Raw genomic sequence first — 21006 nt, 5'->3', positions numbered from 1 at the left:
GCACTAAATCCTTATAGTTTTTAGCCTCTGAAATATCTCTCAACTATGTCTTTTCCCTGTCTCCACTGCCATGAACCTAGTCCATGTCACCATTATTTCTCTTCAGGAGGTCATAGACCCCTCATGGGGTTCCCTGTCTCCAGTCTTGCTACTCCATCCACTCCTTTCCTCTTGTGGTGTGTCATAATGAGGAAGAAGGAGAGGTGCCCTAAGTCATAGTGATAAAGGAATGCTGAGGGCCTTTCAGAGATTGTGAACTCCAAACCTGCACAAGCCATAATCATTTGCTGAATAATAATACATCAATAACAACAAATAACTTTTATTGCACATTTAATATATGCAAGGTGCAATGCTAAATGATTTACAACAGGGATTCTCCAAGTGTGGTCTTTGATCCTGTAGAGTCAGTACCACCTGAGAACTTGTTAGAAATGCAGATTTTTAGACCCAGCCGGCACTACTGAATCTGAAACTCCGGAGCTGAAGCCCAGCAATCTGTGTTTTAATCACCTCTGCGTAAGTCTGATGCATGCTAAGGAGCGAAAATAATGATCTACTCGAATTTTCTTACTTAGTCTTCATAATTACCCTATGAAGTAGACACTGATATTATCCTCACTTGACAGCTGAAGAAATTTGAAGATGCCATTTGTCCCAAAGTCCTACGGTGGTGAAGAGGGAATTTGAATCCTAGACTTCTGAACTCTGAACCCTGTACACTTAGCTAGCATATCATCTCACTTCACTAAATTCTGAACCAAACTGGAAGCCAAACTAAAGTTTAAAACAAAACATGCTAATGTACCAGATTAAACACCTCAGCATCTGTAAATTTTTGTAGGTTATTCTCTATTGCCCTTTCTTACTGATTCTCTGTGATCTCACCTCTGCTCCAGCCAGACCCAGGCTTCTGACTGGCCCTCGCTTACAGAATTCGCTGATTCCCATCAACATGTTGTTCTTCATGTTTAGAATGCATTCACTAACAGTTTGTTGGGTCTTTCTTTGCCCCTCTGCTCCCTTGTCAATTCACACGTCTCTGAATTCCTCTTGGACTTGTGGTATATACAGTATAATTTTAAAAATGCATTGCATATGACTGGTATGGTTTGGCTATATTCCCACCCAAATCTCATCTTGAACTGTAGTTCCCGTAATCCCCACATGTCGTGGGAGGGACCCAATGGGAGGTAATTGAATCACGGGGCTGGTTACCTCCATGCTGTTTTCTTGATAGTGAGTGAGTTCTCATGAGATATGATGGTTTTATAAGGGGCTTCCCCCACCCTTCACTCTGTACCTCTCTTTGCTGCCACCATGTGAAGGACATGTTTGCTTCCCCTTCTGCCATGATTATAAGTTTCCTGAGGCCTCTCCAGCCATGCTGAACTGTGAGTCAATTAAATCTCTTTCCTTTAATGCAATGACCTTATCTCCAATACTTTTTGTGATATGGCCTTATCTCCCCCAACAAGCTTAAATGTTCCTTGAGGGCATGGGCCATGCAGTGTGTTTCTTTTGTGTATTGCCTTCTCAGCCCCTACATGTATATTCATACTTGCCAAGCACAAAACTCAGCATGAGATGAAAAGTGTTTAATTAGGTTGGTGATGGGCCATGCATCATCTGTTTTCAAGGGATAACATAACTATAAGTTTCATGAATGCAGAAACTATGTTTTACCTGCCATCTTAACCTCTGTGCCTGGCACAGAGTAAGTGCTGAATAAATCATTGTTGAATGGATGAATTCCATTCAGGATGAGAATCAAAGCCATTTCACTCAGAGATCTCAGAGAACAAAGAATGCCCAGAAACTACATTAGATGTAGACCATTTCTGTTTTCAAAGGCTCTAAAAGGTATTGTTTTAAAAGTCTACAGTGGATGTTGTATGAACTTGGGTAAGTCCCATTCTCTTTCTGCCCTTCAACTTCTCCATCCTGAACTGGATCAATTCCTGAGTCTTATGCAGCTTTCTTTTCAGTGATTCTGTGATCAGATGTTTCCTGATTGCACTCTATTGCAACTATCATAAATTAAAGTTAAAATTCTAAGGTCCCCCCAACCATCTGAATGGATCCGTCCTCTTGGCTAGGGGCTTTCCAAAGCTAACCTGGAAAACTAGTTCAGTCCATGTTAGGAACAAGGAACCAGACATGCCTCATTATACTCTCCTCCCTTTTGGAGTTACTGATAGAACAGACTCTTTACGTCTGAGAAGAAACATTTACCATCTATTCTCTCCGAAGCCTGCTACCTGGTGGCTTCATCTATTATGATATATCCTTGGTTTCCACAACCCCTTATTATAACCCAGACATTCTCTTCTATTGATAATAACTCTTTCGACAAATTGGTAATCAGAAAATCTTTGATTCCACCTATGACTTGAAAGCCCCCCCACCCTGCCCCAGGCTTCCAGTTGTCCCAGCTTTCCAGACTGAACCAATGTACATCTTACATGTGTTGATTGATATCTCATGTCTCCCTAAAATGTACAAAACCAAGTTGTGGCCTGACCACCTTGGCCACATGTTCTCAGGATCTCCCAAGGGCTGTTTCATGGGCCATTAGTCACTCATATTTGGCTCAGAATAAATCTCTTCAAATATTTTACAGAGTTTGACTTTTTCCTCAACACTATTTAGACTTCCAAACAAGATACTGCTGTACCTGGGCCACTGGCTTCTCAGTCATTTCTCAATCATTTCTCCACTCAGCAAACATTTACTGATGCCCACTGTGTACCAGGCATAGTGCTGAGCACAGGTGATTCAGTAAAGAGTAAGACATAAGCCCTGTCCTCAAGGAGTTCAGTCTGTTGGGAGGTATAGACACATAAACAGGCAACCTAGCCCACACATTGGGTGGGGGTAATCATAGAAAGCTCCCTGGAGAAGCTGATATCTTGGTTAGAGCCCAAAAGATACAGAAGTGGTAGCCAGGAGAGCAGAGCCATATACAAAAGCACATAAAAAGGCCCTGGAGTAGGAGGTTAGGAGAGAGTAACGCAAGATTGGAGGTCACAGACCATTTGGCAGACTGTGGCAACACTCCAGGCGAGAGATGAGAAAGACTTGAACTAAGACCATGGGGCTAGAGATCAATGAACAGGTTTCAGTTAGATTTTGGAGGTAGAATTCACAGTCCTTGCTAATGGATCGGATGTGGGAGATGAGGGAATGGAAGGGTCATGGAGGACCCCTGAGTTTCTGGCTTCATCAACTTTATGAATGGTGCCATTTACTGAGTTAACTCAGAAAAAGGGAGCTGGTTTGGAGAATGGGGTTGAGGAGAAGCCAATGTGGTTCAGTTTGGGGCATGTTGGGTTTGAGTTGGAATATTTATTTGAATAGATCTCTTATACGTCATTGACTATAAGGATCTGGCACAATCAGAAGAGAAATCTGGGCTGGAGGTTCAGGTTTGGGAGTCATTAGTATGTAGATTAAAGCCCTTCAGGAGGAAAAATAAACACTGAGAAGCCAAGTACCAAGGAGAACCAGGACACCATTGCTATGTAAAAGGAGAAATGCTCTCACAGATGTGGGGTACTGGCATACATGCTCATCTATTCCCAAGCACACATCTCTGCCCCCAAAGAGGGTCGCTCAATGATGTCTGTGCATCTCCAACTGAAACTTAAGAGAAGGAGCATTGGTGCCCAATCCTAAACTCTCCATTTTGCCATAAATGATGCCTAAAGGAAAAAGGGAACTAATGCTTTCATTCTATCTGCCAGGTGTTTTATATGTATTAACTCATTTAAATGCTGACAATAATCCAACGTAAGAGCTATTATTACACTTCAGCCCTTGATACTCAAGATGGTTATATCCCTTGCCCAAGGTCACATAACTTAATTGGCAGTAAGGAGACTTCATTTAAAGTGTACCTAACAGCACTGCATCACCTTCTACAATACAACTGGATCCTTAGGAAGGCCTGTGCACACCCTTCTCCCTTCCCTGCTTCATAAATACCATTTGCATCCCCTAGCTTAATGCTTTGCTTTACAAATCCCTCTGGGAAAAGCAAAGCTCTAAGTTGTCAGTCATTAACGCCTCAGTGGGAATGAGTTTCAGATTCTTCCTCAGGAACAAATGTTAATTTTATGGGAGAAGAACACTGGAACCTTAACGGAGGTATAAAAAGGCAGAAAGGGACTAAGTTATGAAAAGTCAGCCCCCTCCACCAGTTTCACCGTCCTGTCTAGTGTGAGGCATATGCTTTTAAGATTCTTCGATGATATATCTACATATGTCTACTACTTTATAGGCAGCCCCATTTCTGGGTCTTTTACCCTAGTTATCTGGGTCTGATCAGAGGCCACCTTAAACTTCACACTGATCCCAACTCACTGTGGTTGGCAGGAGGCAGCCAGCCTGGGCTGTGGTTGCAGACCTGCGGTTCCTGGCCTTAAGCACAAGTCCCAACTCATTCCCTTGAGAATTAGACCCTGATGTGCATATTTAAAATCCTGAGCAGATGGAAGCAGGAGAGCTCATTGGAAAGACTTGGAGGAGTTCCTTCTGCCCTGTCTGGGTCTATTTGCCAAAATAAATGACATGTATCAGAACAGGGCATTAGTCCAAGCCCATTGAAATTCTGCTAGCTGTCCAAACAGTGATGGTGTTTCAGATTGGTTCTGTGAAATGATCAGGGTTAGGAAAAAAGAAATAATGTGTGAGCATCTGGCTGCTGCAGCCTACTGATGGGGACAGTCCCAGGGGCGGGCCCAGGGTAGTGGAGGGGCAGCCTCAAGGACCCCCTAAGACATCTGCCACTGGCAAACAGGGAAACAGCCACATACTGGCAGCAGGTGGTCTGTTTAGTTCCATGCCGTTCCTACTAGCTACGTGACCTAAACAAGTCCTTCCTCTTCTCTCGGCCTTCCCCCTTCCCCCCGCCCCCCGCCCCATGTATAAAATAAAGCCCGGATTGAATGGTCTCTAAGGGCCTTTCCTGCTCGAACATTCTGTGACTTCTCTGACACTGGTTTGATTTCTTTTTCTCTGTAGAGGGAGAGGCCCACCTACCCACCTGCTTATCTGTAGTCTCTATGTTCTCACACTGACCTCTGCTGGCCATTATGAAAAATGTCGCTGATAGTGTCGGGGTGGGAAAGGAAAGGAATTCACCACTGATTTAGTTAATATTAAGCTTTAGCTGTATGGGTAATGAGGCAGAAATCCTGTGCATTAGAGATGAGGAAAAAAGATCATACAGCTATAAGCACAAAGTAAGCGTATCTGGATGACAAAACAACCCGCAGAAGAAATGGGTCTGCCTCTTTTTTTTCTCAGTCACCTTCATTTGTTCCCGGTGTTCTGTGCCAGTGTATGAAAGGACATCCATGGATGGGAAGGCTTTTTGTCTCATATCCTATGACTGCAGGCTCCATAAGAGCCTCACACCATGCTGAGGGGACAGTTCTGGATGAGCAGAAGCCTAGAAACTTCCCACAGGCCCTGCTTCTGGCCCTTGATTCAATGTGAGAGGTTTCAAACTGAGCTGCTGGCACGCCCGCCAACCCAAGCTGGAACCTGGGGCCAGTCCAGAAGTGCATGTTCCTCTAGGGGGTGCCTTTTCAAACTTCTATTTGGAAAAAGAATTAGAATTTAAAAAATATATGTGAGTTCTTTAGGAGAGTTCCTTTCAGCTCTCTTGTTGGAACACAGGGGTCAAGAAATTCTGCATGCCCACCAAGCCAGGAGAAAGGAAGCAGGCTGTGGGACCCTGTCTTTTCTACATGGAATCAGAGTTCCAGTTAGGCCCAGCCCTCGAGTTGCCTACCTCCTAAGTCTCCTTGCTTACCCTTGCTGATAAGCATGTGCTTGCAAAGGTAAGAGACCAGAGGTAGAGGGTGCCAGTCCCTGTGCCTATGCTGGGTGCTGCTGGGACTCTTCTCTCTAATGGTGTGAGCAGGATGGGACTGGGCCACATCACAACCTGCTCTCTCAGTAGCTGTTCAGTGATTTACTGTCCTCTTCCCCTTCCTTCCCTTGATGTGGGAAAACTTTTGTCAGGGCTTGGATTTGGGTCAAGCATTCAGTGCCCTGACTGGATCCTCTCTGCTAGTAATAACATGGCCTCTGCAAGCCCATCCTGCCCTCCATTCTCCCATCAAGCAGCTCCCTCCTCCTCAACAGCTGCTTCTTATCTGCCTCCCTTGTCCCAGCCTCAGGCAGGCAGCCCTGGCCTCATTCTGACATACACATGTTATCCTGAATGCTTCTTGATGACTTTCAGCCCTGAAAGACCGCTCTTCTCCCAACTCTCCCCTGTTCCCAAACCTCTGAGGGTTCCCTGTGTCCTGCCACATCACGACTTCGACTTTTCTGCGGTGCTTTCCAGGCCCGCTTCAGCTGGAACCTTTCCAATCAACCTTTCCAGTGCGGCCCATGACTTCCCCCAGCCATGGGCAAAATGTAAGCCTTCCACAAACCCTCCATTGCCAACTCTTTTTTCATGTTCCCACAGCACTTAGGCTCTGTTCCAAATTTGTACTGTTTGCTGTGATTTTGTATGCATTAGTCTTGAAACCTAGGCCCACATTTTCTTTCTTTTTTTAAAAAAATTATACTTCAAGTTCTAGGATACATGTGCAGAACGTGCAGGTTTGTTACACAGGTATACATATGCCATGGTGGTTTGCTGCACCCATTAACCCGTCATTTACATTAGGTATTTCTCCCAGTGCTATCCCTCCCCTTGCCCACCACCCCTCAACAGGCCCGCATGTGTGATGTTCCCCTCCCTGTGCCCATATGTTGTCATTGTTCAACTCCCACGTATGAGTGAGAACATGCAGCGTTTGGTTTTCTGTTCCTGTGTTAGTTTTCTGAGAATGATGGTTTCCAGCTTCATCCATGTCCCTGCAAAGGATGTGAACTCATTTTTCTTATAGCTGCATAGTATTCCATGGTGTATATGTGCCACATTTTCTTTATCCAGTCTATCATTGATGTAGGCCCATGCTTTCGACCTCCTACTCATTGTCAACAGCACCCCAGCACTATTTTTTAAGTACTGCTCTTTTTATATTATTAATATGCATTATACACACATATACATATATACACACATATTTATTGATTTTGTGAAAATCCCAATAATAATAAATAACAGAACCACTGTAAACAAAGTTCCAACAATGGGAGGTAGGAGCCTAAAAATTGAAAGTTTACTCCACCCCCATCATTCCCAGAATGAAGCCTGTTAAACAGTTTGCAACCTATCATTTTTTGTAGGCCACATGTTGGGTATTGGAAAAGGTTAAGTGGTAGGTGGTGCCCAAGAGAACTGCATTTCCTTGGACAGAGCATCTTTTACTTCCTTGCAAGGGTCGTAGGTCTTCGTGGGCCTGATTGACACTCAAAATTATACTCCAAAGGATCATCACAGCTGGTGGCCACTTGCATCTCCAGTACTTAACTGTAGCCACAGCATAAGGCATCTGTCCCATTTTCAGCCTTTTAAAAAGTAAGCCTTGAAGGTGAACAGTAAAGGGCATGCTTAATGGGCTTCTTTTCAAAGTTTTTCACAGATTTGTAGGAAATGATGGACAGTCAGTAAAGGGGCCAAGAGGTGGAGATGGGAAGCATTTATGAAAATGGACTTTCTACCTGATACGGTGTTGTGCTCTCTGAGAGGTAATGCATATTACTAATGGTTTTCATTTTTCTGCCAAGAAAATTCAGTCCCTACTGGGATTTGTTCTAAATGATAGACCAGCCTGCCTGTGTTGCACCCACTAGGGTTAATACTCAGTCTGAGTCCACTTTAAAATGTCAGCCTGAACTCTCAGACTTAATTGTTACAGACATTTTATAAGCAGGGCATTTAAAATCCTCAGGCTGTTCCCTCTTGCTATCATAATTGATACTTAATAGATATTCTTAGGCTTCTTGTATTTTACACATTCAACACTTTACAGATTGGAGAGGAGAGGAGAGAGGGATAGGAAGAAAGAACAAATAAGCAATTCATGTGTGTATATGTGCATGTGTATGTGTGTTTTCCCTGTGAATGTCTGCTACTAGGTGCAGTGATGGAGTCCTGGGATCTGCCAACGAAGATGAGCTCTTGCAGGTTTGTCAGCCTGTAGGTTTCTGGGCCCACTCTGGCCCCCTGGGGCAATGTTCTTTAGCCACAGCCATTTCTGGATTTCACTGCAAGCACATGGTTGGCCATTTGGACGTGAGTTATAAAATGTCATGATGCTCTCCAGCGCTCTGTTCTTTCACTATTTTGACAATCTGATGGATGGCCTGGCATTAACTAGGAAGAGGACAATATTATCCATCCTGAATAACTGATTTCCTAAGAAGTACAAAGTTGAAGGATCTTGGTGCACATGAATCTTATTAAATGTGCTTATAAAATGTGTTCTATCCAAATAAGCTTAGCAATCCCTAAAATAGCCTTTTCTGATCCGTGTCTGGAACTTTGGCGTGCCTCACAGATCTCTTAGCCAAAATTATTCAGTGAAGTTATGACAGTGCTCTTTGTGCGTGGGAAAATGAGAAGTATTAATGCTAAGTCCTCTATTGACTAATTGCACTCCTTCTGTCCACCTTAGGGACGACCTGGACCAATTGGAATTCAAGGCCCAACAGGTCCTCAAGGATTCACTGGCTCTACTGGTTTATCGGGATTGAAAGGAGAAAGGGGTTTCCCAGGCCTTCTGGGACCTTATGGACCAAAAGGAGATAAGGTAAGACCAGCAAAGCTTGATTTCTCTTTGATGCATGGGCCACAAATGTAAAGATCAGAAGTTCTCCATCCCAGTTCTGCTCATTTATGATGTCATTCCTGAGTAGTTTGGTGCCAGGCTGCATTTCTGCATTTTTTTTTTTGAGACAGAGTCTCGCCCTGTTGCCCAGGCTGGAGTACAATGGCGTGATCTCGGCTCACTGCAACCTCTGCTTCTTGGGTTCAAATGATTCTCCTGCCTCCACCTTCCAAGTAGCTGGGATTACAGGTGCCTGCCACCAGCTAATTTTTGTATTTTTAGTAGAGATGGAGTTTCACCATGTTGGCCAGGCTGGCCTCAAACTCCTGATCCACCAGTCTCAGCCTCCCAAAGTGCTGGGATTACAGGCATGGGCCACCATGCCCCACCCAGGCTGCATATTTTAATAAGAGATGGGATGGGTGATGGCCTGCCAATGGATCAGCCCACTTCTGGAAGGACTCCCATAGCAAGCACACCATAAAGTAAATGTATTAGCTGCTTGCTAAACAAGTGGGCTCACTGTGGTAAGAAGTCAGGTGGGTTTGAACTGTACATGGACCGGAAGTCCAATCACCTGGGCAGCACAGATCAGGAATCCAAGCAAGGATACAGGGAAGAAAGGGGTCAGAGTGCTTAGAAGCAATCTAGGCCACAAATATAGGGAAAGAGCTGCAAGAAACGAGAGTGATAATGTCATGGTGGCAGGCTGACTGTTCAGCAGCTCAGTTTATGTTCCCTGCCTACTTTAATCACCTTCTATTCGCCCTGTTGGTGAGGGAACGATTCCCTCACTAGGATCATGGGGATGACTAAAGATATGACACCTGACACTGGGCAGATGAAGTTGACAGCAATTTATTAGTCACATATACTCACAGCTCAGGGGAGGAAGATACCACACACCACATAGGGCCACATAGGGATAGCACTTGGGAACAGAGTTTAGAAGAAAAGGCTGTGCAAAGCAGACTTTGTAGTATCAGTAGGGCAGGGTGCCCCTGGTTCCTGAAGGTGGATGCAATTGGCTTGTTTGAATAGTCCAGTAGGCCAGCAAGAAATTGAAACTGCTATTCCAGGATAAGCAGGAATTGCACCTGGTCCATTTGATAAGGAGAGTTGTTCGGCTAGGGGACCTTATCTGTAGAAGCATAATGGAGAGGGAAACTTGTGATTAGGTCATTCAAGGTTCTCCAGTTTTCCCCAGATGGCAGCAGGTAATAGTAAGCCTTAATTTTAAAACCTCGACTATACTCCCTTAAAAAAAAGAGCTGGTTTCGGAACAAAGACCTGTCTAAGGCCTTAGGTAGAGGTAAATGGTCACTTCGAACTGCAGTAGGAATCAAGGGAATACAATATGGGGAGGGGGGTACGAAACACTTCTTAAAAATGTAGGCCATTGACTCTCATAAACCTACTGAGTCTAACAAACATCAGTTGGATTGTGTCTTACATTCCTCTCCCTACTCCTTTTTTTAGGGTCCCATGGGAGTTCCTGGCTTTCTTGGCATCAATGGGATTCCGGTGAGTGTGTCCACAGATGAATTTTTCATATCCTCCTTTAGGTTCTGCCTCATATTTTGGACACTTTGACCTCAGCAACATCCTGTCTCATGCAAGCATGCTCAGGAACAAGTGTTGAGATATGTATGGTGAGGTTTAAAGGGCAGTGGTCACACACAATTGCCCTTGGATTCAGGCACAAGCAGCCCTATGTCGGATGATTGGAGAGCGGAGGGACCTGTGTAGCCATAACATCAATATCTTAGCCAACATGAGTTAAGTCTTGTGGGTTGAGTGGAGCTTTGATTGGAGATGAGGAACTGGTTCTAAGGTGTAAAGACAGAGCCACATTAGAGGATATATATCCTCATATAGGGAAATTAAGATGGTACATGAAATTAGAGGGTAAAATCCTTCATGATATCTTGATACATTCCATTTTGTAATTTGTTCTCTTCAGACATACCTCATTTCAGAGTGAATTTTCCTTTAAAGTTTTTACAAAGTGACTACTCCAAAGATCACTTGGAGGCAGCCTCTTGCAAAATTTGTCCTGTGGACCTCTGCTCTGCCCAAGAGAAGTGGAAGGTTTGGAACTTGCAGACATTTCTTTTTTCCATCCACCCAGCCTAATCCCTTAGTTTCTCTATTTTCATCCTGTATCTGTGCCTATCCCACCACTGGTGATTCCATGGTAGCATTGCACCAGCCTTTAAAATACAATATTTGGAACTTACTGGCTATCTTTTTTTAGTTTTTCCCTTTGACACTTCTCTATATATTTAAGCCATAGTCTGGGCTATGTTTGTCTACAGCAGCAGTTTTCAATCTTGTTTAATAGAAGAACAGAATCTCAGCATATAGAACAGAAAAAAACAGTGCAGCTCCTCCATTTGTGGGAGGTCCTAGAGCCTGCTTTTATCCTTCCAACAGCCTCTCAGAGATTGTTCTGAACCTTATCAAAGCATGGTTTTTGGAGGCCCTATAATTAACAGCTTTTGTGTTATACTCAATAATAATCTAATGTCAGGAAAAGGGGTTCAAATCTCTTTTTGCCAATCTATAGATATTTAACGTGCCCCTGCTGTATGTTAGCACTCAACCTTGGGTATACAGAGGAATCATGTGGCTCTGCCCTGAAAGATAGTATCATCTGATTCATTGTCTCCTCTGATGTAGTAGAAATTTATGAATTTGAAGAACTGAAGGCTCACTTACCTCGTATCTGTTGCATGTATCAACAAATCGGCCATCAGACTTCAGCATTTTATTCAACTGCAGAGTCTGCAAAAATGCCCAGAAATAGACCAGTGGGAAAATAAGCGGACAGGGTTGGCCATCCTTTTGTGATGTCTCCTGACATTTTCTTATGGCTGTGTTCCTATGCCCCTTTAGCCAGAGTCTCCACCCAGACTGTGTATCTTCTGGGAGCCACTGGGTAAGGGAAACTAGCAAACTGGAGGCAGCCTCTTCCATTCATCCTGTGGACCTGGCTTTGCCAGAGATGAGTGGAGGACTTGGAGCTTTCCGTCTTAGTATGCCCTTCCTCCTGCAGTCTTGTTTTAATGGGAGCTGGAAGGAAGTGAATCCTGTGAGGCTAAGGCTGTTTCCAATTCTGAGCTGGAAACGGCCCCAGAGTCCAGCTGGATACTCTTGCCTCCAACCTGTGGCCAAGAGAGCCCTAGAGCTTGCAGGAGTTGATCACTTCTCTTCGAGGCTTCATTGCTTGGCAGAATGAGTTGCAGCTGTTCAGACCCCTCTTAATGAGCTTACTGCTCCCAGTAGAAGTCCCCACTCCCTGTGGGGTATCCACATCTTTTACTTAGGCCTTATCCTTTTCTAGTTTTCTTGCCTGAACTCCTGATATTTCCTTTCCTTGACCAAAAATTGTATGTGTTTTCTTTTGACTTCTGATTGCCCTAGCTGCAGGCTCCAAACCTCATTACTCCATAAAATCCCACTTTCTTGTTGTTTCTCTCTCTTGAAGCCTCTCAAGAAGTATTTGTTGAACATCTTCTGTTCAGTGCTTACCTCTTCCTTCCATTTCTAATCTCCCAGGAGTCATTGGTACCCGTCTCAAATACTCCAGTGCCTCACTACCTACAGCCTACAGCCCTATGGGACTTAGTGATAGATAGTTTTTTGTGATAGTCTCATCCAGCTCCTAGAAAGCAGAGATTATATCTTCCGTTCCTCTCAGAAGCCTGAGAGGCCCATGACCAAACTCTGCATAGAGTAAACACTCTAAAGATATTGCGGTGGAGGCTGACTCCAACCTCTAGTGCCTAGCAATAGTTCTTAGACTGTCAGGGCTCCCCCAGACAGAAAAACACAGACACCATAGGCCTAGTCAGACTGATTATTTTGTTCAACTTTCAGTAACACATATTAAGCAATTTGGCTGAAACCAACAGCTTTCCCAACACATCTTACTAAACTGGATCACTGCACAGATCTGCTTCCCCTCTTAATATTAGCTGATTGTTAACATATGTGTCACTAGCTTTGTTCTCAAAACTCCATTTTTGCTGTCATGTAGACAATCTCAACATGAGTGGGTTAGTCGTCACTTCATGATAACCTAAGTCTTTGCACTAAAGGGCACAGCAACTAATCAAGAGAGTGAGCAAACAAGCATTCCTAAGATAGTCAACATTAGAACAACATAGACTAGGGACAGTAGGGCTGTGGCTTTTAATGATATCCCAGCTGTGAGTTGGGCCTGTTGGCATCCACAAGAAATGTGTGTTTATCAAATGTTTTCAGTTCAAGGCAGTTGGGAGCAGAGATTTTCACTTTGCAATTTATGTTTAGCTTTCCCCATGGAGTCAATCCTGAATCTCTAGTTCCCTGCCTGGAGACTTGTAAATGAGCACATGAGATTTATATCCTCAAAGTGAACACACACCACTCACCAAATGGAAACTTTTCCTTTGAAACTGGGTTCTGAGGAACATTGCTTTAGCTTTTCTGGAATACAACAGATCCTCCTATTCCATGTGCTCAGTCCCTTGAGGCAATATAGAACTGTGGTTTCCCCCCTCAAAGAGCTATACGCTCTTGGAGGGTTGGCACACACATATGTAAAATCATTAGCTATAAGAATGAAGGGCAATGTGCCAGAAATTCTGTGGTTCTGAGAACTGAGAGGAGGTAGAGCTCAGTCCTGTGGTTTACCCTTGCTGACTTGACTGAGAGAAGACCATTTATTGAGCTCCTACTTAGTAAACCTAGTCTCACTTATTTTAACCATAACCCAGTGGAATAGGCATTATTCACTTTTAATGCTGACAATGACTCTATAAGGTAGGTATTAGTCATCACCATTTGACAGATGAGGGAACTGAGGCTCAAGCTGGGGAAGGGAAACAGTGGGATTGGAGCACAAGTCTAACTGGCTCAAAACATGCCTTGTCTACCCATTCCTTGGTATCAGCTGGATGAAAAGGGGCTGATAGATCTGAGTCAGAGGTCAAAGATTTATTTCCAGAGAATTCAGCTAAGGTAGGAAAGTGTAAACAGGTATCCCTGAAATCCTACAGGTAGGAAATATCAGGAGTTCAGGCAAGAAAACTAGAAAAGGATAAGGCCTAAGTAAAAGATGTGGATACCAAAGGTTAAGAATCCAGACAAAGGTTTTGGTGTCAAACAGAAACAAGGGCTCAGGAGTGAGGAAGACTCCTGGCACTGAGCCAGCCTGTTGTTTTGCATCAATTTATCCCTGTAACCTAGCTGAGAGATAACCCCTAGCAAGTTTGGCTGGGACATTTTATAATAGTGGTGATCAGGATCCCAGCAGGAAACAGACATTTCACCTGAAGAGTTTAACTGAATAGAGTTGAGTGAAGGCTATATTTAACAGATGTGGGAAAGATTAAGGGAAACAACAATGGATGGTGGAACGACTAACTCAAAGCTACCCCTAGACCCGAAAGGGGAAAAAATGGAATGGTAATTACTGGAGTCCTCTGAGATCTGGAACCATGAAAAAGCTGTTGCCGAATAGGAACTAAGACTATGGAAAAATTTGTCCATTTCCTTGGAATATAGCCAAGGAGGGAGGGCATGGGAGAAATAAATAACCTGTGTCTTTCTCGTCCTGCTTTGATCTCTCCAGTCTGTGTCTCCCAGTGGCCAAATACAACTGGAAGACAGAACGAAAGGGAGCCTAGGTTGCCTCCATAGAGGCCAGGCTCCTAGGACATAGATCTGAGGGAGATAGAGTGTAGATCTTCAGGGCAAACAAGAGTAACCATCCCAGTTACTAATAAAAAGTTGCAAACTTTAGTGAGCTGCATCAGCTTCCCCAGTGCAACTAAAAATCATCACCTGAGTCTGCAGAGGCACAGATTGCAGCAACTTTGTTGTAAAGACAAGTTTATTGACCATTCCTCTGGACTTCGCATTCCATGAGTCCAGTAGTCTAGACTCACACTTTTGTATTAACAGTGTGTCTAGCTCTTACAACTATAATAACAACGAAAATGAAACAGAATTCTATAGAATATTTTCTCTATAAGAATTTGATAAAAGGTTGTTTCCTCTAATAATTTGAAAAGTTCATTTTTGAACATATAGCATGTTTCTCTCAAATCATTAAATATATATACTTGGCTTTTAAAGTGTGTTTGCATCGGCAGGGGGGACATCTACCTTTTATTGACCTGTCTATATTTCTGGTCTTTCTGGTCATCTCTTTGCTCCATGCCCAACACACAATTGGCTTTTGATGAATTAAAAAAGGTATATTATCTACAAAAGGGTAGACTCTATGTACCAAGGAAGCCCAACTCTGGAAAATTATTGAATTCAGATGAATTGTATGAGAATGATTACTAATTCCCCAGCAAAACAACTGCCTCAGTCGTTAGTACGGAGAGGAAAACATACAGTTTTCTAACTGAAGCAATAGCCTGATGTGTGAGCATGATAAAATGAGATTGAAAATGTGATTCTTGCAGGACTTGCTTATTTTGGACCAAGCAACTTTCAGGAGAGGGGGTGCTGTGGGAACTGCTTCTGCTCTGTTAACCAAAATCCAGCATCATTTCCCATGCAGAGCTTCCAATACTGAATGTCATGCCAGGCTGCTCAGGTTCTGTCTGGCCTGAGGAATCCCAAGGCCTGGCATGATTCCCTGTTGGTATCACTTCAGCTGCCAGACAGCTAAGCCCAATTTTAGTACATCTTTGTATACAAGGAAGGTAAAGTTGCAAGACCTTGTGTATCCCATCTGTTCATGCTTGATCCCTTTGGTTTCAGCTTGGTCCCTATTAAAGCATTCATCCTTTTGGGAGGGGCAACATTGAGCTATGATTAGACACATATGCTTGAGTATAAAGGAAAGACATGCAAACATACATGATGGGGCTAAGGGAGTGAACAAGGAGCCACAGTTTAATAGCATGCTTGGCTTTTCTCGCTGTGGAGCCATTTAGAATAGCTGACAGTCCTTTGGCTAACTTGATCCCTTCTTTTCTCTTTGAACAGGGCCACCCTGGACAACCAGGCCCCAGAGGCCCACCTGGTCTGGATGGCTGTAATGGAACTCAAGGAGCTGTTGGATTTCCAGGCCCTGATGGCTATCCTGGGCTTCTCGGACCACCCGTATGCTGCCAGATATTTGCATTTTATTTCAAATGGCTTTGCTTGTCTCTACGTGTGCCCTTTTTCTGCCTCTCTGGAAACCTCAAGATTTTGTGGGGCAGCCACTACACACCCTTGTCCAATGTAGGAGTCAATACTGGCAGCACCACAACAGTAAAAGTCTAAAGAAGAATACCAGTTGCAGTGGGGTGTGCACATGCTACACTGCTTAGGGTTGCCTTTTTTTTAATGCAGCTTGTGAAATTGGCAAGATTGTTAAAAGGCTGTAGTAAATTTCATGGCAAAATACACACTTGGGCTATTTGACATGGTCCCACATCAGACAATATTGAGGAATGTTTGGAAGACTTATATGGGATCATGGAAGCACTAACCAAAACCCAAAGGGGCTTGCAAGCTTGGTCTATACCAGTGGTTTTTAACCAGAGGTGATTTTTGCCACTCAGGGGACATTTGGCAATTACTATTGATATTTTGAGGTCTCACAATTGGTGGTGTGCTACTGGCACAAGACAGCCCCCTCCCCAACATCTAGAAATCATTTGGCTCAAAGTGTCAATAATGCTGAGGTTGAGAAACCCTACTCTATAGTAACAGAGTTTGTGGCTACACTCCCACATCATAACCCTTGGTTATGGTATTGATAAGGTATTTATTGGATTCCAGTGTCACCACTTTTATTTAATTCTATTCATCCAGATAGGGCTCAGATATTTTGATCTAAGGGATCTCTAGTAAATACAATGCCCTTCCAGGCTGATTTTACAAGTGGCTGGAAAGAGTAAAATAACACATTTCAGACTCATTGTCAACCTCCCTTGAAATAATCTAAACTCATGAGGGCACTGATCTGAGATATTTAACTAGAAATCACTCCATTCATGAGACATGTTTTATAGCTACATGAATTAATTGACACTTCATTGGAAGAGCAGCACCACCACCTTCAGTGACCAGGTTGGGGTGTGGGTATATGTGTGAGAAAATGAGATAGATGGACAAAGCACAAGCCCCAGATTGGCATATAGGACTTTGACACCTAAGGACCAAATCAATATGCCGGGGGGTGGGGAGGTAAGGAAAGATGTATTGCTAACATAGGATGAGATAAGTGGGTTACAAAGTTCTCCAAAGATTGCCATGGCAACCAGGTATAGAACAAAACATTTCCATGAAAATCCAGCAAAGCAAGGACATGCTACCCCCTAAAAGGAGAAAATAAATGTTGAGGTAATAAATACCCATTGACAAAGGACAAAGGAAAAAACCTAGTTCTGTCTCTTAACTTAACCTCAAGCCTAAATAGGAACTTGGGCATGTATTTTACTAAGTGGAGATGTATCCTTTGCTGAATACCAAACAGATCATTCAGTTGGCTTTTTTGAAGCTTCTTTCAAGACAGTAGTGGCCACAAGAATAAAGTGAAACAGGCAGTGTTAGGAAAAAAAGTGAGAAAAAAAAAACGGTTTCTGCTCCTGGGATCACGTTGTTGTTTTATGATACCAATAATCCCTGTGCTGAAGGAATCAATCATTCAATAAATGCTTCAGTCCACAAAGCTTAGCCCTACCCCACATACTAATCCTGACTTCCCCTTAGGTGTAGGGACGTTGATTATCCCCAGGTGTACAAACTCTAACAGATATTAGCCAGCATCTGCCAGTAAGACAGCAAAAAATCTAGTTGAAAGATTGGAATTGTGTACTTTGAACCATTTTTCATGTTAGCAGTGAGATACACCAGCCTCTTAGACAGACTTTGAATCTGAAGTTGTGTGGTAGAAGTACAGGATGAAGGTAGTTTTGTAGATATCTTTTAGACCAGAGGTCTACAAACTGGACCACATGGCCTTTGGCTTGTGGCCTGTTTTTTTTTTTTTTAAATAATAAAATAAAAAGAAAGAAAGAAGAAGAGTATAAAACAGAGTTTAGATATGACCCAAAAGGCCTAAATTATTTACTATCTGGTTCTTTTCATAAAATTTTACTAACCTCTGTCCTAGACAAAGGTTCTGTCAGTGACCTATACCTGTGAGGGGTGAAGCAGCGAACTCTCCATTACATGAGTTATTTGTGGTTGTTCAGACCAGTACTCTGAATAGATGTAAAGTATCTGACTTTAACACATTTCAGACCCATTCAAACCCTTTCCCTTTACAGACTTCTGGCTTGGGGATTGGGAGGGCATATAGCTCTGAATCAGAGCACCCGGTCAAGGAATGTGTTTTGCCCCTTAGTACAGCCAATTTTGCCATAGAAAAAGCCACATGGTTTCAGGCTCTTGCTGTCCCATCCTCTATCTGATCAGATAATGCAATTAAAAAGACTGTAAGTGTGTGTATTTCTTCAATTTTTTAAACTATTTTACTCAGGGGCTTCCTGGTCAGAAAGGATCAAAAGGTGACCCTGTCCTTGCTCCAGGTAGTTTCAAAGGAATGAAGGTAAGAACCTGTAAGTCAGATAGCTGAGTAGGCTATAAGCTGGGTTCCCCAGCATTGGGCCCCACCTCCAGTGAAAACATTTCCAGAACTAGCATCTGTGTCTCTATTTAAGGAGCAGACCAAGCTGGATTCAAAAGAATCTGGAGCTTTTTGTGGTGGAAACATTGACATAAATGTTTGCAACTATACTGTCAAAGAGATTTGCTCTGCAGGATCTAGACCAAAAATAGGAGACAGATCAGCAAACAAACAGTTTGCATGGGTATCATTTTCTTTCACAAACCAAGACATTTCCCGGAGGCAGATACCTTTTATCTACTCCAGAATCCTTGTTGTCTGTATTCCTTGGTTTGAAGCCATGTATGTCTCTGCCCATCTCAACATGGCCTTTAGCCAAAGATCCTGGTTCTGCCCTTCTCTGTCACTACACACCAACCCATCACCCTAGCTGGGCCCCTGGATGTCTGCAAAAATTGCCCATCAGCCCTGAGGCTGGCTGGAATCTTTCATCTCTTTCCAGAATTGACAAGAACCTTCTGTGTTCTTGTGACTGTGTTGCCTGATATCCTGCGGGGCCTAAGTAAACCCTGGCTCCAAATGATTGGCCCTATTCCCTTGCAGAGTGGGGCAGGAGTCCATCATTTCCCTGGTAGCAAATGAGAATGTATGTGCCCAACATCTGAGGAGAAGATGCACCAAGTTCACTCAGCTAATTGATGGCACTTTTCTGTCTTCCATTAGTGCATAGAGCCTGGAACATTGGAAATCACTTTGGAAGGCAGTGATGGGGGTGGGTGGCTGGAGAGCCGGACAAGATTTAGGGTATGGGCTTCTAACTATAGATGCCATAGTAGAAGATAGAATGTTTGAGTTGGAAAGGACCTCATGATTCTTGGACTCGTATTGCTCATTTTACAGATAGAAAAACTGAGGTGTACTGAGGCTATGTGACTTGCTCAAAGCCAGTTCACTAAAGAGCTAAAACTCAGGCAGTGCTCTTTCCATGCTACAGAGAGCTGATTTTTTACTGTAAGCCAAGTGGAGTAAGACTAGCAGGTGTCAAAATTTGGTCATTGTCTTAGAAAACATTGATTAAATGGCTTTGCCAAATATCAAAGAGACCCTGGATCCAGTGGAACACAACAATTTTCACAAGATGGTTATATTACTGATTCATGCAGTAACTAAACATGCAGCAAAGTAATTAAAACATAATCAGAGAGTGTATGCTCTGTTGATTTTCCCTTGAAATGACCGATTTGCATCGTATACATATGGGCACAGAATCTTTGGGGATGAAGGCACACAGGAAGGTAGCTTTGCTTTCCTCCAAAAGGAGTAGGAAAATCACTAGCCCACAGAAGTAGTTTCTAATTGATAAGTACCTAGCAAAGGTGAAAATTAATTAATCCAAGTAAAATGTGAAATCCTGTTCAGCCAAGGCTATAATATGTGTCTTCTACAGTCCAGATTTTTCTTACAGAAAAAATAAACAATCTAAACAGTCGAATATGTCCAATTCATACATTATTTAAAACACAAGACTTTGACAGAGGAGGCCCAAGGTTCAGAGATGTGTTTTTGTCCCTATAAATGTTAGGTTAGTTATCTGAAATATTGCAGGCTTAATTTATTAAACTCTTCAGTGTCCTGCCTTTGTTTCTCAGGGGGATCCTGGGCTGCCTGGACTGGATGGAATCACTGTAAGTTGTTATTTATGTGTTGAGCTCTCAGTGTTGACTAAAAATCACTAATGGTGCATTTTCGTTCTTCTCTATGATGTTCTAAGGTCTTTGTAGACCTCAAGGAAAATCTAGACAGTTGAAGTAGAATGGGTCACAGTATTGACATTTTCCAAATGAGAAAGCACTGAGAGGATGAACTGTCCACTGTCAAGTTGCATGACAAGCAGGCTTTCAGACTTTAGGCCAGAGACATGTATTCACTGGGATGTACTTTCCCCTAGGAATGTATTTTGCCTTTCCTTCAGCAAGCACTTACTAAATGTTTTCTGTTTGTCGAGTGCTGTGAGTAAATCAAAAGAAGTAGAGCACATTGCTTTAAAAGGTATTCCACACAGAAATTCCTTTTAGGGACTCTTGATAATGGTGAGTCCATGTAAGGCTGTGAGTTATGTTAATAAGAGCATTATTTTTCTTTGAGATTCCACATTGTCGTCACTTTTTTTTTGAAACAGCTTAAGAAAAAAACCTTTCTTTCCTCTTCTTTCTTTCCCTTTCCTGTATTCACTCTTTCTTTCTTCGCTCTATCTTTTTTCAGTAATCTCTGAGACAATGTAGACACAGTCCCTGCCCCCAAGGGTGGGAAAAACTAGTAGGAATGTGGCATAAGAATTCCACAGCAACTTAGAGGAAGAGATGCCATTCACTTAAGGATATGTCATGTGAGTCTTTATGTCTAAGAGACAGAAGGTAGCTTGTGAGAAGTGTGAATGGTGTTTAGCTGGCAGTGGGAGGAGACTTTCTAAATAGAGAGTTACGGAGTTTCATGAGAAAAAGTAGGCAAAAAAATGGGATGTGTGCAAGCACACACAAAAACAGAGATGAATAAGGACCAAGGCCATACATATTCCCTAGGGCAAAACAATTGGCTTAGATAGTGTATTCATTAAATTTACAGAACAACATCCACTGTACTTGCTGCATAGCTTCTCTTAGGTACTTGTTTTCCTGCCCACAAAGGCTCAATGTTTGT

General features: G+C 43.0%; 1 protein-coding gene and 1 long non-coding RNA gene across 17 annotated transcripts in view; one reads left to right on the top strand and one right to left on the bottom strand.

The window, feature by feature from the left end:
* Positions 1-21006, top strand: part of COL4A6 (collagen type IV alpha 6 chain) — a 283845-nt gene that overhangs the window by 209496 nt on the left and 53343 nt on the right. For 15 of the 16 annotated variants that reach the window (XR_001755650.2, XM_047441813.1, NM_001847.4 and 12 more), the window contains exons 4-8: positions 8589-8723; positions 10221-10265; positions 15735-15851; positions 18223-18291; positions 19959-19994. Coding sequence is in view for 15 of the 16 variants with exons in the window: in XM_047441813.1 (XP_047297769.1) it covers positions 8589-8723; positions 10221-10265; positions 15735-15851; positions 18223-18291; positions 19959-19994 (402 nt within the window). In the remaining variant the exon portion in view is untranslated. Of the gene's footprint in view, positions 1-7119; positions 8099-8588; positions 8724-10220; positions 10266-15734; positions 15852-18222; positions 18292-19958; positions 19995-21006 lie in introns of those variants that run through there. The other variant, XM_011530853.4, reaches the window with a different exon arrangement.
* Positions 9584-11783, bottom strand: LOC124905205 (uncharacterized). Its single transcript, XR_007068304.1, has 2 exons — positions 11463-11783; positions 9584-9882 (listed from the first exon to the last, which is right to left on the bottom strand). It is a non-coding gene; the product is annotated as an uncharacterized LOC124905205 (long non-coding RNA).

The sequence above is a fragment of the Homo sapiens genome, chromosome X (assembly GCF_000001405.40).
Source record: "Homo sapiens chromosome X, GRCh38.p14 Primary Assembly".
Taxonomy (NCBI): Eukaryota; Metazoa; Chordata; class Mammalia; order Primates; family Hominidae; genus Homo; species Homo sapiens.
Note: the sequence above shows the minus strand (reverse complement) of the source record. Positions and strands in the feature narration are given on the sequence as shown.